This window comes from Homo sapiens, chromosome 2 (genome assembly GCF_000001405.40).
Source record: "Homo sapiens chromosome 2, GRCh38.p14 Primary Assembly".
In the NCBI taxonomy this organism is placed as follows: Eukaryota; Metazoa; Chordata; class Mammalia; order Primates; family Hominidae; genus Homo; species Homo sapiens.
The window spans coordinates 24,703,188-24,719,430 of record NC_000002.12 but is presented as its reverse complement, the minus strand read 5'-3'; the positions used below and the strand labels follow the sequence as shown (position 1 = coordinate 24,719,430).

The 16,243-nt window shown below is 35.9% G+C and overlaps 1 protein-coding gene across 15 annotated transcripts in view; it reads right to left on the bottom strand.

Annotated features, from left to right (window-relative positions):
- The window catches only part of NCOA1 (nuclear receptor coactivator 1), a 279,449-nt gene that overhangs the window by 51,272 nt on the left and 211,934 nt on the right, over positions 1 to 16,243 (bottom strand). For all 15 annotated transcript variants that reach the window (XM_047446155.1, NM_001362950.1, NM_003743.5 and 12 more), the window contains 3 exons: positions 14,198 to 14,345; positions 11,543 to 12,863; positions 8,320 to 8,500 (listed from right to left, as the gene is read on the bottom strand). In XM_047446155.1, coding sequence (XP_047302111.1) covers positions 8,320 to 8,500; positions 11,543 to 12,863; positions 14,198 to 14,345 — 1,650 coding nt within the window. The remainder of the gene's footprint in view (positions 1 to 8,319; positions 8,501 to 11,542; positions 12,864 to 14,197; positions 14,346 to 16,243) is intronic.

The window sequence follows — 16,243 nt, the reverse complement described above, 5'->3', positions numbered from 1 at the left end:
ACCCATTTTAAGTTCAACAAATTTTGTACAGTTCAACAAATTTTGAGAAAGGTATAAACCCAGGACTTTCCACTCAAATCAAGAAAACAGAATATTTCTATCACCTCTAAAATTTCCTTCATGTTCCTTGGCTATCAATCTTCCTAACTCAGGCAAACAATGATCAGACTTCTATTACTACAGATTAGTTTTGCCTGTTTGAGAGCTTAAAAAAAATCTGAATATATATGGCTTTTTTCACTTAGCATGTTTCCAAGAGTAATTCATCCTATGTAATAGTATTATAGTTCCTTCCTTTTCATTGCTGAGCAGTGTTTCATTTTATGAATACACCACTTACTTGTTGACAGACATTTAGTTTGTTCCGGTTTGGGGTTTTTTTTTTTTTTTTTTTTTTTTTTTGGGACAGAGTCTCACTTTGTAGTACAGGCTGGAATGCAATGGTGCGATCTCGGCTAACTGCAACCTCCACCTCCCAGGTTCAAGTGATTTTCGTGCCTCAGCCTCCCTAGAAGCTGTGATTACAGGCGCCCGCCACCACACCTGGCTTTTTTTTTTTTTTGAGACAGAGTCTCATTCTGTCGCCCAGGCTGGGGTGCAGTGGCGCGATCTCGGCTCACTGCCAGCTCTGCCTCCCGGGTTCAGGCCATTCTCCTGCCTCAGCCTCCTGAGTAGCCGCCCGGCTGATTTGTTTTTTTTTTTTTTGTAGTTTTAGTAGAGATGGGGTTTCACCATGTTAGCCTAGTTTTGTATTTTTTTTTAGTAGAGATGGAGTTTCACCATGTTGGCCAGACTGGTCTTGAACTCCTGACCTCAAGTGATCTGCCTGCCTCAGCCTCCCAAAATGTTGGGATTACAGGTGTGAGCCACCGCGCCCACCCAGTTTGGGGCTATTTTGAATAAAACTGTATGGATATTTGTAGTCAAGTATCTTTATGGACGTGGACTTTCATTTCTCTTGGTTAAATACCTAAAAGTTGAACTGTTGGGTTACATGGTAAATGTATGATTAACTTTATGAGAAATTGCTGAACAATGTTCCAAATTTGCTATACCACTTTACATGCCATTAGCAATGTAAAAGTTCAAATTGTTCCACACCCTTGCCATCACTTGCCATCACTTGGTATGGTCAGTTTTTAAAATTTTGGGCATTCTAATGGGTATGCAGTGGTATTGCACTGTAGTTTTAATTTGCATTTCCTTGATGATTAAAGATGTTAAGTATCTTGGCCGGGAGCAGTGGGTCACACCTGTAATCCTGGCACTTTGGGAAGCCAAGGCGGGTGGATCACTTGAGGCCAGAAGTTCTAGACCAGCCTGGCCAAAATGGAGAAACCCCATCTCTACTGAAAATACAAAAAAAATTATCCAGGCATAGTGGTGCACACCTGTAATCCCAGCTACTTGGAAGGCTGAGGCACGAGAATTGCTTGAACTTGAGAGGCAGAGGTTGTAGCGAGCGGCAATCATGCCATTGCACTCCAGCCTAGGCAACAGAGAGACTCAAAAAAAAAAAAAAAAAGATATTAACCATCTTTTCACATGCTGATTTGCCATTTTCATATCTTCCTTTGTGAAATATCTTTTAAAATCCTTTGCCCAGTGTTTAGATTGGACAGTTTTTCCTACTATTGCATTAGTGTGGTACATTTGTTAGAACTGATAAGCCAATATTGACACATTAGTATTAACTAAAGTCCACAGTTTACATTAGAGTTCACTCTTTGTGTTGTACATTCTGTGGATTTTGATATTTTGACCAATACAGAATGACAGGATAGATACATGTCATTGCATACACATGATTTATATATATATATGTGTATATGTCTATGTACATTTATTTATACATGATATGAACACAGGGGATTTTTAGGTATGATACTTATCACATAAAATCCCCTGTGTTCTCCTTATTCATCCTTGCCTTTGGCAACCACTGACAACAAACCCCTGGCAACTCCTGATCTTTTGACTGTCTCCACAGCTTTGCCTTTTCCAGAATACGGCTGGAATTATACAGGATGTGTAGCCTTTTCAGATTGGCTTCTTCTCAGCAATGTCTTTTCATGGCTTGATCGCTTCCAAGTTTTGGCAATTATGGATAAAGCTGCCATAAACATTCATGTGCAGGTTTTTGTGTGAACATAAGTTTTCAACTCATTTGGGTAAATATCAAGGAGTGTGATTGCTGGATCATATGGTAAGAGTATGTTTAGTTTTGTAAGAAACTGCCAAAATGTCTTCCAAAGTGGCTGTACCATTTTGTATTCTCACCAGCAACGAGAGTTCCTGTTGCTCTACATCCTCGCCAGCATATTGTTGTTTTAATTTGCAATTTTCTAATGACATATGAGTTGGGCATCATTTCATATGCTTATTTACCATCTGTATATCTTCTTTGGTGAGGTGTCTGTTCAGATCTTTTGCCCATTTTTAAATTGAGTTGCTTGTTTTCTCATTGTTTCATTTTAAGAGTTCTTTGTTTATTTTGGGTATCACTCCTTTATATCAGATATGTGTTTTACAATATGAGTTAGGAAATATTTTCTTTGCTTCTATTTTTTGGAAGAGATTAGAGAGAATATAATTTCTTCCTTAAATGTTTGGTAGAATTACAAGTGAACCCATCTGGGTTTAGCCTAGTGATTTCTGTTTTGAAAGGTTATTGATTATTGATTCATTTTCTTTCAAGAGGTGGTCTTTAAAGAGCAGAAGATTTAACATTTAACGAAGTCTAATGTATCAATCTTTTTCTTTCATGATTAGCACTTTTTGTGTCCTATCAAAAATGTGTCTATCTCAATGACTTTTTTTTGTTGAAAAGCTTTATAGTTTTAACTTTTATATTTAAGCCTATGATCAACTCAAAATAAGTTCATTTTTTTGTGTATGGGATGAGGAGAGAGGTTGAGGTTCATTTTTTTCTACATAGATGTTCAGTTGTTATATCACCATGTATTGAAATGACTATTCTTTGTTTAATTACCTTGGTGTCTTTGTTGAATGTCAATTCGCCATATAAATGTGGGTCTGTTTCTGGACTCTCCATTATTTTGCATTGATCTATATGTCTATTTTTATTCCAAAACCACACCATCTTGATGACTGGTGCTTTATAGAAGTATTAAAATCAAGCAGTATAAATACTCCCAAGTTTTCTTTTTTTTTTTTTTAAGTGGTTTTTGTTATTTCAGGACCTTTGCATTCTCATATACACTTTAGAAAAAGCTTGTCAAATTTTACTAAAATGCCTGCTCAGATTTTTTTTTTTTTTTTTTTTTGAGACGGAGTCTCACTCTGTCACCCAGGCTGGAGTGCAGTGGCGCAATCTCGGCTCACTGCAATCTCCGCCTCCTGGGTTCACACCATTCTCCTGCCTCAGCCTCCCGAGTAGCTAGGACTACAGGCACCTGCCACCACGCCCGGCTAATTTTTTGTATTTTTTTAGTAGAGACGGGGTTTCACCATGTTAACCAGGATGGTCTCGATCTCCTGACCTTGTGATCCGCCTGCCTCGGCCTCCCAAAGTGCTGGGATTACAGGCGTGAGCCACTGCGCCCGGCCGCCTGCTGGGATTGTTATTGGGATTACATTAAATTTACATGGGTTGATTTTGGAATAACTGATATCTTGACAAAATTGTGTCTTACAATCCATGAAAATGGTATCCCTCTCCATTTATTTGGCCCCCCTCTAATTTCTCTCAGCAAAGTAGTTTTCAGTGTAGAGTAATGCACATGTTATTCCATCTAAAATTTATGTCTTAATATTTTATGTATTTTGTAAATTGCTTTTTCTATATCATTATCCAATTGTATGTAACTGATATACAGAAATACAATTGATTTTTTAAAATACTGAGTACACATATTGTGACTTTGCTAAGTTCATTTAGTTCAAGTAGCTTTTCCTCTCACTTCTTTAGGATTTTCTACATGCAGGACACTTATAGAATATTTTTCTGTTAAAAAAATGCATTTTTAACTTTAGCCTCTAGCCTCAAATATTATACTATTTTGTAGAAAAGAGTATTGTCTCATTTATTCTACCCCATTTTTGGTACTATTACTGTCATACATTTTTCTTCTACATATTACATATATAATTCACTGTTATTATTTTTGCTTTAAACAGTTATTTTTCATTTAAAGAAACTAACAAATGAGAAAAAAGAATTTTCCATTTATTCATACCTTTACTTATCTGGCTCTCTTATTATTTTCTGTAGGTTAGAGTTTCCATCTGGATTCATTTTATTTTAGCTTGAACAATAGTGTAATCTGCTGGTGACAAATTTTCTCAGGGTGGTTTGTTTGAAAACATCTTTATTTCACCTGCATTTCTGAATGATACTGGATACAGAAAGTTAGTTGTTTTCTTATCTTTGTTCATCTTATATCATTTTCTATCTTTTTTCATCTCTGTGTCATTTTGAATGATACTAAGTATAGAAAGTTTTTTCTTGTTTATCTGACATAATGTGTCATTTTTCTTTGATTGGTTTTAAGATTTTTGTTTCAGCAATTTGATTATGACATGGCTTATAGTAGTTTTCTTTGTGTTTATTTTGCTTGGGATTCATTAAACTCTTGGATTTGTAGGTTTACAAATTTCCACAAATTTGTAAATATTTTGGCTGTTTTTTCAAAAATTTCACCTGCTCCCCCTTCTTCCATAATTATGTATTATTTATATATTATGTGTATACTAGACTGCTTTGTATTGTTCCACAGGTGACTGAGGTCTTTCAATACTTTTGTGGTATTCTTTTTCTCCTCTAATTTGAGTAGTTTCTAATACTATGTCATGTTTATTGCTCTTTTTTTCCTGCAGTGTCTAATCTGCTGGTAGGCTCCTCCAACAAATTTTTCATTTTAAATACTGTATTTTTCAGCTCTACCAGCTCTATTTGGCTCTTTTTTTTTGTAGTTTATATCTCTTCCCTCATTATGTTCATGTTGTCCCTTAAGTTCTTCAACATATTTAGAATAGCTATTTTCAAATCTTTTTCTATTACTTCTATCATCTCTGTCATTTCTGGATCTATTAACTGACTTTGTTTGGGTATGGGTCACAGTTTCTTGCTACATCATGTGTCTTAATTTTTTTTATTATATGTTGGAAATTATGAATATAATGCTGCTGAATGTCTGAATTTTGGTGTCTTCTTTAAAAACTATTGAATAGTGTTCTTTCAGACAGTTAATTTACTTGTACATAAGCTTGATCCTTTTGAGGTTTGTTTTTAAGATGTCAAAGCAGGTCTAGGGTAAATCCACTCTTAAAGTGAGGCCATTTTCCACTAAATGTCCCAGATGTTCAAGAAGGTCTACCGACTCTGATTGGTCAGGACTTGATTATCTTCCAATCTTGTGTGAGTTCTGGTAGTTGTTCAGCTCACTCCTTCCTGATAGTTGTTCTTCCTTCACAAACTGTTCTTTGCCCCACCTGATGGAGTATCGTTGAATACATGCACAGTGTAGTATTCAGCCAAGGATAGAAAAGAACCCTGATTCAGATTTTTGTTGCTATTTTCTACATATCCTTCTCTTCTCGGGTACTTTGTTCAGCAAGTTCTAGCTGCCCCACTGTCACTGAACTCCTATCACTATTTTCGGAGTTTAGTAAAATATCCGTGCTTATTTTGGGTTCCTCCTACCTGTACTTGGTTTGGTAAACATCTCCAAGAAAAAAGCTGAGATGATTGTAGAGCTCACCTGACTTGCTTCCTTCTCAGAGAGATCACAGTCTCACACTGCCTATTATCTATTGGCTTACAAGAATTGTTTAATGTATTTGCTCTTTTTCCCGTTATTTACAGTGGGAGGACTAGACCAGTGCCAATTATTGCTGTCATAGTTGAAAGTAGAAGTCCTTTTTCTCAAATCATAAATGTCTTCTAGTTCCAATATTACCTTTGAAAATTCCTGATTCACTGTATGGAATTAACTTCTCTCTGAAAGGTTTTAGAATCTTTTCTTTATCTCTCATGTTCCAGAATGATATGATGACAAGCTTTGGTACAAGTACTTTTTTTTTCCATTTGTGTTGGGTACTTGTTGAAACACTGTAATCTGGGGAATCAGAAAATTCTCTTATATTTTTTGATGTTTCCCACCCTTGTTTGTGTAATTCTTTTATTTTTTTAAATTAAATTTAATTTTTAAAATTAATTAATTAATTAATTATTTTTGAGATAGAGTTTTGCTCTTGTCGCCCAGGCTGGAGTGCAATGGCACGATCTCAGCTGACTGCAACCTCTGCCTCCTGGGTTCAGGTGATTCTCCTGCCTCAGCCTCCCAAGTAGCTGGGATTACAGGTGCCTGCCACCATGCCCAGCTAATTTTTGTATATTTTTGGTAGAGACAGGGTTTCACCATGTTGATCAAGCTGGTCTTGAACTCCTGACCTCAGGTGATCCGCTTGCCTCAGCCTCCCAAAGTGCACGATTACAGGCGTGAGCCACCGCACCTGGCCTGTTTGTGTAATTCTTAATCATTACTGGCCCTCTGAGGTGGACCTTGTAATTTCCTTAACTTTTTCTTCCCTACTTCCCATTTGTCTTTCTGGGAGCATCTTTTTGTTCTTTCTGGAAGCTTTTCTCAGCTGTATCATCTTACATTTCCCTCATTAAAAAAAAAAGTTGGATACCTAATTTCCAAGAGTTTTTTCTGTTCTTTGTCCCTTTTTTTCCCTTTCCATATTTTCAGGGGTAATACATTTTTATCTTTCTAAAATTTCTAGTAGTTTTTTTCTTTTTTGGTTTATGCATTCATTATATATTTCCACTGCATACTTTTTCTGTTTATTTCTTTTTCTCCCTTTCAAGTTGCAGAGTTTCCTCCAAGTACTGATGATTCTTGACTGTGTCTGTTCAGTCAGTGTTCTTAAACATGGACTGGGAGGGCTGAGTGCCAGGCTTGTCTCTTCTGGGAGCCTTCATTGTTGGATGATGAGATAGCAGAATGGCTTTTGTACTTATATACTCACATCCAGACATCTTTCCGCCCATTCAATGTCCCCTGAGAAAATTCTTCCAGTCTCCCATATTGGATGGGGAAGGAGATAAAGACCTCCAAATCAATCAATATGCAGACTTTCATTTTATCTCTTTTCAGCCTTGCATCTTACTGTTTCCTCAATTGTGACTGACATTCCAGTCTAGAGCCTCACTGCTTCTATTAGAAGAAACTTTCAAAATCATTTAATCTAATTCTTATATTGCAGATAAAGAGAATAAGGTTCAAAAAATGTACTTCCTTGAGGTAAGACTGTTAATGACTGGAGAATGTGAGATTTGAATCTAGGCTTCTGACTCTTCCTCTAATACTCTGGTCAGCTAAAATACTGCCTCCAAAAATGTCACAGATGGATTCAAGATTATTCTTCGCAGCTGTCTGAAATCCTGGCAAACTATCAGTAATTGGGTCATGACAGTTAAAAGTTCCAGTTGGACTGAAATAACTGAAGTCCCACATATGATACCATCAGAAAAGGGATAGAACTAACGTTGAAAATCCAGACTAATTTTGAAAGTGGGCTGATTAGTTTCCTTTAGTTTCAAGGTCATACAATGGAATTCTTACCACTGGTTTTTTCAACATCAAAATGTGATGGGCAAAAAAATCTGACAGCCTTATCTTCATAAATTTAATGTATTAAACTATCAAAGTGTCTCTCAACTAGGAAAATGCTAACTTGGGTTAGAACAATAACATATTTTAACACAGTTGTCTCCTAAGCAACTTCATGGAAAACTCATTCTGTGGTATAACATGTATTACTTGAGAAAAGAAATTCCATAATCAGGAAAGTTTGGGAAATGTTGGGTAAAAGAAATCTAAACTACATTCTTTAATACAAGGCTTCTCAAAACTGCTAATAGGCATTAAAACATCAATATGAAATGTATGGAACATGTAGCATTTGCCCAGTGTATTTTAGTACAGAATCTTTTATTTCTGCAACTCACAGGATTAGTTTTCAAGGAAGATATCTGGAAACAATCTGACCCAATACTGTATTTCTGAAAGTCCTGTTATGGGGTGTTTTGGGTGAGACGACAAAATTGTTCTCCTTAACATCAATTGCTCACCTTAACATTAATTACAAAAGGATAGAGGTCATAATTTAAAATACACATGATGAATGATGTTCACATGCCTAAATATAACTGTTTTATTATTTATAGTGGCATTAATAAAAAGATATTTCACTCTTAAGCAAAGGATCTGTGTAATACTGGTGAGAGACAAAATGCTAATCCACATTATCACTAAACGTTTAAAATGAGGTGTTGTCCCCAGAACATACTATTTAGCCTGGAAGTGGGTCTGGCAGTGGCGGACTGAAGTGAAGCTGGCAGGATCTCCGATTTGATGGTTACACTGGTGACCGCACCATCCATCCTGTCTGTCTCACATAAGCCTGGCAACTGTGCTGCCTTCTCCAGCGTGGGCAGTAACTGATCAAACTGGTCAAGGTCAGCTGTAAACTAAGAATGGAAACCAAAGTTAGAGGAAATATATTTTACACTTTCACCTGAAACAACGTAGAAAAAAATGCTGCTTCTTTAAACTCTATGAATTCAGTGTGACTTTGAGATAATGAAGAAAGAAGAAATAATTAGAATGATTGGGGCTACTTGGAAATTACATGAGCTAACTATTCCATGGGGAAAATATTTGGATGCTTCTGATAATAGTATTCATATACTGCAGGATATAAATAATACACATATATTTGGCTACTATATCTTGGTACAAAAATCTATGTATAAAAAAAGATTGGACTGGAAAAAAGTGTCAGTAGTACTGTGTTATGATGATAGCATTATGGGTGACTTTTTCCTGTCATATTTTTCAAAATTTCATAAAATGACTTACTTTAAACTTATATTGATTCAACTATTTTATAATTTAAAAAAGTTTGGAAAACTTTTTCATAAATTATTTATCAGCTTTAAAGATATCACAATGGTTACTTCCCACTTAAGGACTTAATAAGAAACATATCTTTTAGAATAGATAGGGAGGCCGGGTGCCATGGCTCACACCTGTAATCCCAGCACTTTGGGAGGCTGAGGCGGGTGGATCACCTGAGGTCAGAAGTTCGAGACCAGCCTGGCCAACATGGCAACCCCGTCTCTACTAAAAATACAAAAATTAGCCAGGCATCGTGGCACGTGCCTATAACTCCAGCTACTAGTGGGGCTGAGGCAGGAGGATCACTTGAACCTGGGAGGCGGAGGTTGCAGTGAGCCGAGATCGTGCCACTGCACTCCAGCCTGGGCTACAGAGCGAGACTCCCATCTCAAAAATAAATAAATAAATAAATAAAATAAAATAAAATAAAAAAGAATAAATAGGGAGTTCCTACATCTGTCTTAGGTTATGTAGAGAAGAAAACTGGCCTTTATTTCACAATATTGCTATACTATGATTACTTTTTGGGTTTCATTATCTAGTTCAACTGAAATTTTTGTTTCTAGAGTATATAAGTAGAATTACATATATGTATTTAATTATATTTCTGAAGTTTGGGCACTGTTACATTTAGCAGCAGTTCATTCATTTTTATTGCTGAATAGTGTCCCACTGTATGAATATGTCACAACATAATTATCCATTCTATTGTGATGGATTTTTGGGTTGCTTCCAGTTTTTGGCTGATACGAATAAAGCTGTTAAAAACATTTGTGAACATGTCTTTTGTTACACATGTGCAAAAAGCATTAACCATAAAGGAAAAGATTGACAAATTGAACTATATTAAAGTGAAGAACTTCACCTCATCAAAAAGTGCCAGTAAGAGAAAGAAAAGGTAAGCCTTAGCACTAAAAAGATGTCTGCAAATATATGTCCAATAAAGGACTCATACATAAAGAACTCTTAAAAGTCAATAAGCAAAATAAAAACACATTAAAAAATGGTCACGAGACTAGACTAGGCAATTTACAAAAGAAGATATCCAAATGACCAATGAATATTTATCAGGGAAATGCAAATTAGAACACACACCTCAGAATAGCTAAAAATCTAAAATATTGATAATATCATGTATTAACAAGGACTTGGAGCAACTAGAAAAAATACTGATACACTAGGAAAACTGGCATTATCTACTGAAAAAGGACATATGCATATCTTATTATCCTGTAGTTCTACTCCTAAGAAGCAGCTCAACAGAAATACATACACATGTGCACAAAACAGATGCACCAGAACTGAACACAATGGCATTATCTTATAAATCTTTTCCTTTTAAATATACTTATTATTTAATGCTGTTTTCTGCTTAAAAATTAGTTTCATTGTACCAAGAAACACGAGACAGCCTTATCCTCAAAGAACACACATGCACAGAACCAGTCAAAATAGTGTTACTACAAAGAGTAAACAGAGATGATATGAAGCACCACAAAAGGACAGAAGCAGGAAATGTCTAACTAGGGATACTTGGGGAAGGCTTTATGCAGATGTTATTTGAATTGGTTTGTGAAGGATGAGTAGAAGTTCAGTGGGCACAGAAAGAAGAGCAAGGCAGAATATGTTTAGAAGAGACATGGCTTATTCTAGGAATGACAAGGACTTCCATCTGCCTAGAATGCAGTATTTCTGAGGGAAGAGAGTGATTCTTGTGAAATGAGAGCAGAAAACTAAGCTGATTCAAGAAACCGAAGGACCTATGCATACTAAGTGTGACTCATGCTTTAGAATGGAGTCTCGTGGATAAACTGCTTTGTACATACATTGTCTGCTGATTAATGAATGTCTATATTCTGTCTCTAAATAAGGTGAAAGCTCCTAGGAAGGGCCATATTTTTTTTTAAACTATATTCCTTCAGAGTCCATAAGCAATTATACAATAAATGAAGATACCTGTTTACTTTTACACCACTTTCACCCCATCCTAAACATAAAGGTTTCTAATCCATAACAACTTATGGAAAGGTTTGTCTTTATTTACGTCTGTTTCAGGTCATGTTACATAAGGGCAATATTCTGTTACCCAGAATATTCAAGTCCCTATTCTCTGATTGCTGAGGGTGGTCAGAATCAGATGAGAAGGAAAAAACAGCCTTAGGAAATGCTTCAAAGGAAATAAAAAACAAGCCAGACTAAGTAACCTTGTCCATCTCCTTACATTTCTCTCCCACTTCATTTACATCAGGGGTTCCCAGACTTAGGTTTGGTTCCTAGGTTTTATTCCTAGAGAGTTAGATTCAATAGGTAGGGCTGGGAGAGAGGGGCAGGGAAGGTATTTTAAAAAATGTCTAAAGATGTGAACACTGATTTTATAGAGAAAGAAAAATTTCCTTTTTTATAATTCTGCATTAAAACTGTAGCCTTCTGAAGTTCTAAAGAAAACTTCTGAGGGCATCCTGTGATCAGTTATTGATACTAACCTCTTAATATATGCCCAATGGATAGGATAAAACATAGTATGAATTCATATCTGGTCTACAGATGGAATAGAATAAATGAAAAAAAAAATTACTAAGAATGACCATTCTGTGAAGCAAGCAGTTACCCACCTGGCTCTGGGCCTCCAGTTTTATTTCCTCAGGAGTGGGTTTGGTCATTGGGGTTGGGTTTGTATTACATGGATCCATCTGTTCTTTCTTTTCCACTTTCACCTTTACATCATCCAGGCTCAGGTTTGGAGTTGATCTTAAATCTTTCTCATCTTTATCTAAAAGATAGCGTAGGAGCTGATGGTCTTTTGATTCTTTTTTCTTTGAAGCATCCAGTTCTAGTTTTATACTGGAGTTTCCTTGTACCTGTCCAGTCACTGACACAGAAGTAGATGCACTGTCCTTTTTATCAGGCTCGACAGACAAAGTGGTGATATCTGAGGGGCTACCCTCCTGTAAGAGCCGGTGTAGAATTTTATGCCGTTCTGTCAATGAGCTATGAGAAGAGGGACAAGAACCTCCTGAAGAGTTAGCAGAGGCAGAGTTGGAAGTGCCTGTGCAAGACAGGACATCTTTGCAGCTTGTGTCTATATCAGCATGCCGTAACTGCTGTTCGGCAGTTGTTGTCAAAAGCTGCACTAGTTTGTGACTGGTTTGAGAGTATTTACTGTCTCCATCTGAAAGTCTGTCATTGTTATGCAGAAGCCCTGAATCCAGAGGTTTGCCATCACTAGAGCTGTTGTCAGATTGAATCATTTCATTTAAAATTGAGGCAATCTCTTTGTTATCTTTGGACTCAGCTTTTGCTGGTTGTATATTTAATCTGCTAGGTGAATTCTGTGAGCTCATCTGCCTGAGGACTGGAGAACTGGCAGAGAAGCCAACGGAGTTATTGGGTCCTTCATTCATACCCTGTAAAGATGTTACTGGGATGTTTGAATAAGATCGGTTATTATTATTACAGGCACTACTTGTCATGCCAACGGGAGAGCTTAATGTCGAAATATTAGGAGGAAAGGAATTGTTTGGCATCCTGGGCCTTGTTGCCAATCCAGAAGTAACCTGTCTCCTTGGAGACATGAACTGTGCTAGGGATATTCCTGTACCTTCCATAGGAGAATTATTGAGGTTTAAAGAGGGATTACTGCTCTGTGAACTGGCCTGTCCTTGGTTTAAGGCAACATTGGCTACAATCTGACTTCCGGGTGAGCATCCGAAACTTCCTTGGCTGTTGCTAGAATTACTATGACTGCTGCTATGAAGGTCTGAGCTCTGCTGGCGGTTTATTCTGGTGGATACCATGTTGCTGTTGGATGGTGGCAATGTGGATGAACGAGCCACACCATGAGCTGGAGAGATACTAGGATTGACCGAGGGATTTACTCGGGGAATTGACATTCCAGAATTAGTGTCATCTTGAGGAGAAAGCCCACTGTGCTCCCTAGGGGGAAAAAGACATTATTATTCAAACATCTTCATTTGTTTCTATTAAAATATTTTTATGATACATATTCTAAAACAAGACCATTGATCTCATTAATATTGCAAGCTATCAAGTAAAGAGCTTCTGTACCATCTTAAATTAAGAAAAAAGTTTCTTAAATTAAGAAAAAACTACTGTAAAATATTAGCACCACTTAATAAGAAATAATGCTTATCGACTCTTACATTTGATAATGGTCTCAGTTATATGTAAAATATAATTTTATGTAAAATATAATGTAAAAATTTTTCTTGGTTTTGGAAAAAATCCAATATATGTTCTTTTAAACAATTTCTAAGCCTAATATACACAATTAACATTATAATAATTTTTTGGTTGAAAAATAAACTTCTCACACCTCTGTTTATAAAGCACTTATTTATGACTCCTGTTACAGCTTTTAAGTATTTCAACTCCAAAGAGGAAGACTGGGTAAGGAAAATACTGTGTCACTGATGTAAAAATTAAAAAGAGTGATATGCAGACATAGCAGATGTTTTGAAAGAGAAATCACAATATGAAAAAAAAAGAACTGTGCTAATTCCACTCACAAGCATAATTTAAACTAAAAGTAGAAAAAAACCACAATACTGAATTCAGGTTTTCAGTGAGTCCTTTACTCAAATTCATAATTATGACAACAGATTTGTGACTGGCATTACCATGTTCCAATAAGCAAATACATTAGATGAGAAAAAGATGAAGTGAGGGGAAATGTCTTTGTTTTTAATGCTACATTTTCACCACTGTAAATGTAGGATTTCTAATAATTCATAGGATAATAGTTTCATGAATTTACCATATATCAGTGTAAAACATACTTAGGGGAACAAATTAGAGACAATGGCACTCAAAAATCAAGTTGATAGTTTAATGATTTGTAATTTCTGTGAGAAATTGTCAACTTGAACTCAGGAGCCACCAAGTATGCCCTAATGAAAATAGAGCACTTTCAAAAATAAAAATAAAAATAACAATGTTAACAAACTCACAAATCTCTTATAAGATTCACATATGGAATGTTGTAAATTTTTAGCCATCTTTTTGGTTTTACCCTCTAAAAAGCAGATTTTCAGCCTCAGCTTTCCTACCTCCCTTTATGAACAACAAAGCTATTACATGATAAAACTATAAAACCCAATATGGATATATTGATTATATATACTCATCACACTAGTTTTACGCCTAATTTAGAATTTCTGCTTTCTAGCCATCAAGAGTATAAAAAATTTCTCTAATAAGAGATATGTGAACTGGCTTATTTCATATGAAGCTCTCCAAATAAGTAGTACCTGTCGATGATATGAATTCCCATGATGAAAGGTTGCATGTCTGGACTTTGAGGGTAGCAAAGTTTACACTTGGTGTGGGCGCTAAGCATTGTCCCATCATTCAATATGAATCTATAGGAGGGGCTGGAGGCAGTGCCACGAGTCATCACTGTTTCAAACAGAAGAGAAACCTAGTTAAAATTCTGATACTTATACGCTGGCTTTAAGTCACCAGGTTTTATTTCTACTTAGAACCTCATTTTAAAGGCCCTCCCAACTGTTGCCTGCTTAGACTCAGAATAAAGAATAGTTCAGACAAAGCAGATATCTGAGGGGGAAGATGATTCCAGTTGAAATATACCACTTGATGACAGGTTTTAATTGAGTCATAGTTGAATGGGTGCCTCCTCAGAGAAGTTATAATTATGAGAAAACCCCAAATCTGGGAAACATCAACTTTAGTCTTTTTTTTTTTTTCTTTTGAGACAGAGTCTCACTCTGTCGCCCAGGCTAGAGTGCAGTGGCACGATCTCGGCTCACTGCAACCTCTGCCTCTGGGGTTCAAGCAATTCTCCTGCCTCAGCCTTCCAAGTAGCTGGGACTACAGGCACCCACCACCATGGCTAATTTTTGTATTTTTAGTAGAGGCAGGGTTTCACCATGTTGGTCAGGCTGGTCTTGAACTCCTGACCTCAAATGATCCATTCACCTTGGCATCCCAAAGTGCTGTGATTACAGGCGTAAGCCACCGCGCCTGGCCCAACCTTAATCTTTCTCTATACTGGGGGCAGCTCTTCAAATTTATTGTCTCCATTAAAAATACCAGGAAATATTTTTCTCCCCTCTCACTCTCAGTATTATCTTTAACAAGTTTGTTTTCTCTTTTGCTGGTTTTTTTTTAAATAACAGCTCTACTAAGATATGACTGACACACCATAAAATTTACTAAGTTTTGATCAGTTTACAGAGTTCCTTAACTAATATTCAAATTTAACTTTTCACTCAGGAATGTGAATCACTAAGGTCCCATTTGACAAGTTATTTATAAATATGTGTAAAATCTGTGTACTATTTTTAATGTTTGAATTTTTAAAGTTTAGTAAGCAAATTAAGATGTAGCCAATGGTTATTAGTATAAGGAACAAAAACTAAGTTAAGGCAGTCAAGTCACTTTATAAGTAGCATAATTTACTCTTGTCTTAAAGCTTTACTAACAGCAGAAAAAATTCTAATCATGTAAGTATTTATTAAATACGTAAAGGCTATGCCAGACTATTATGTAATAAAATATCACTGATGTTTTAATAATACCATATAATTCTATTTTAAGAAAGATTGAGTACTACCACAAATGACTATTATAATTTAGCCTGTGATAAAATGTTAGTCCAATTTTTCAAAGACATTTCAAAGGGGCTTTGATTACATTTTAAAGGCCATGAGAAAGAGGCTTAAAATTACCAATTAATAAATAATTTTTGAAGTTACATGTTACTTAAACAAGACATGTTCTATTTTATTGTCCTGTGTATACAGTACCAACTGAAAAAGGTATAGTTTAATGTAAATCTATACCATAATATATCTGCTTAAGTACCAAAACCAGAATATAAATTTAATTGAAAGGATAAGACTTATATTTGACCAACCACATTCTTTACACACCTGGCAATTTCAGCTAAATCACTGGCATACTTACTAAATATAATGTATCTAAACTAGGAAAAATTCCTGAATTTAGGGAAGCCTATTAATTTAATACAAGACAATTACCACACTTTATGTTTTGAAATTAGATTATTTGTTTTGGATGAGAATGTATGGACTAAGATTTGGCATTTAATAATTCATTCAGCCATTCTTGGAAATGAGAAAGAGGCAATATTTAATATGGTAAAACTTCAATTAATTAGAACTCAGTAAGACTCTCCAGTTAACTAAAAGTCTGGTGCTTAATTGTTCAGATGAAGAGGTCAAAGGAAGGCAGCATAAATCAATGAAAAGAGTAACAGCCTAGGAGTCAGATTCAGGCTTGACCTCTCACTGTCATTTACAAGTTTAAGACTT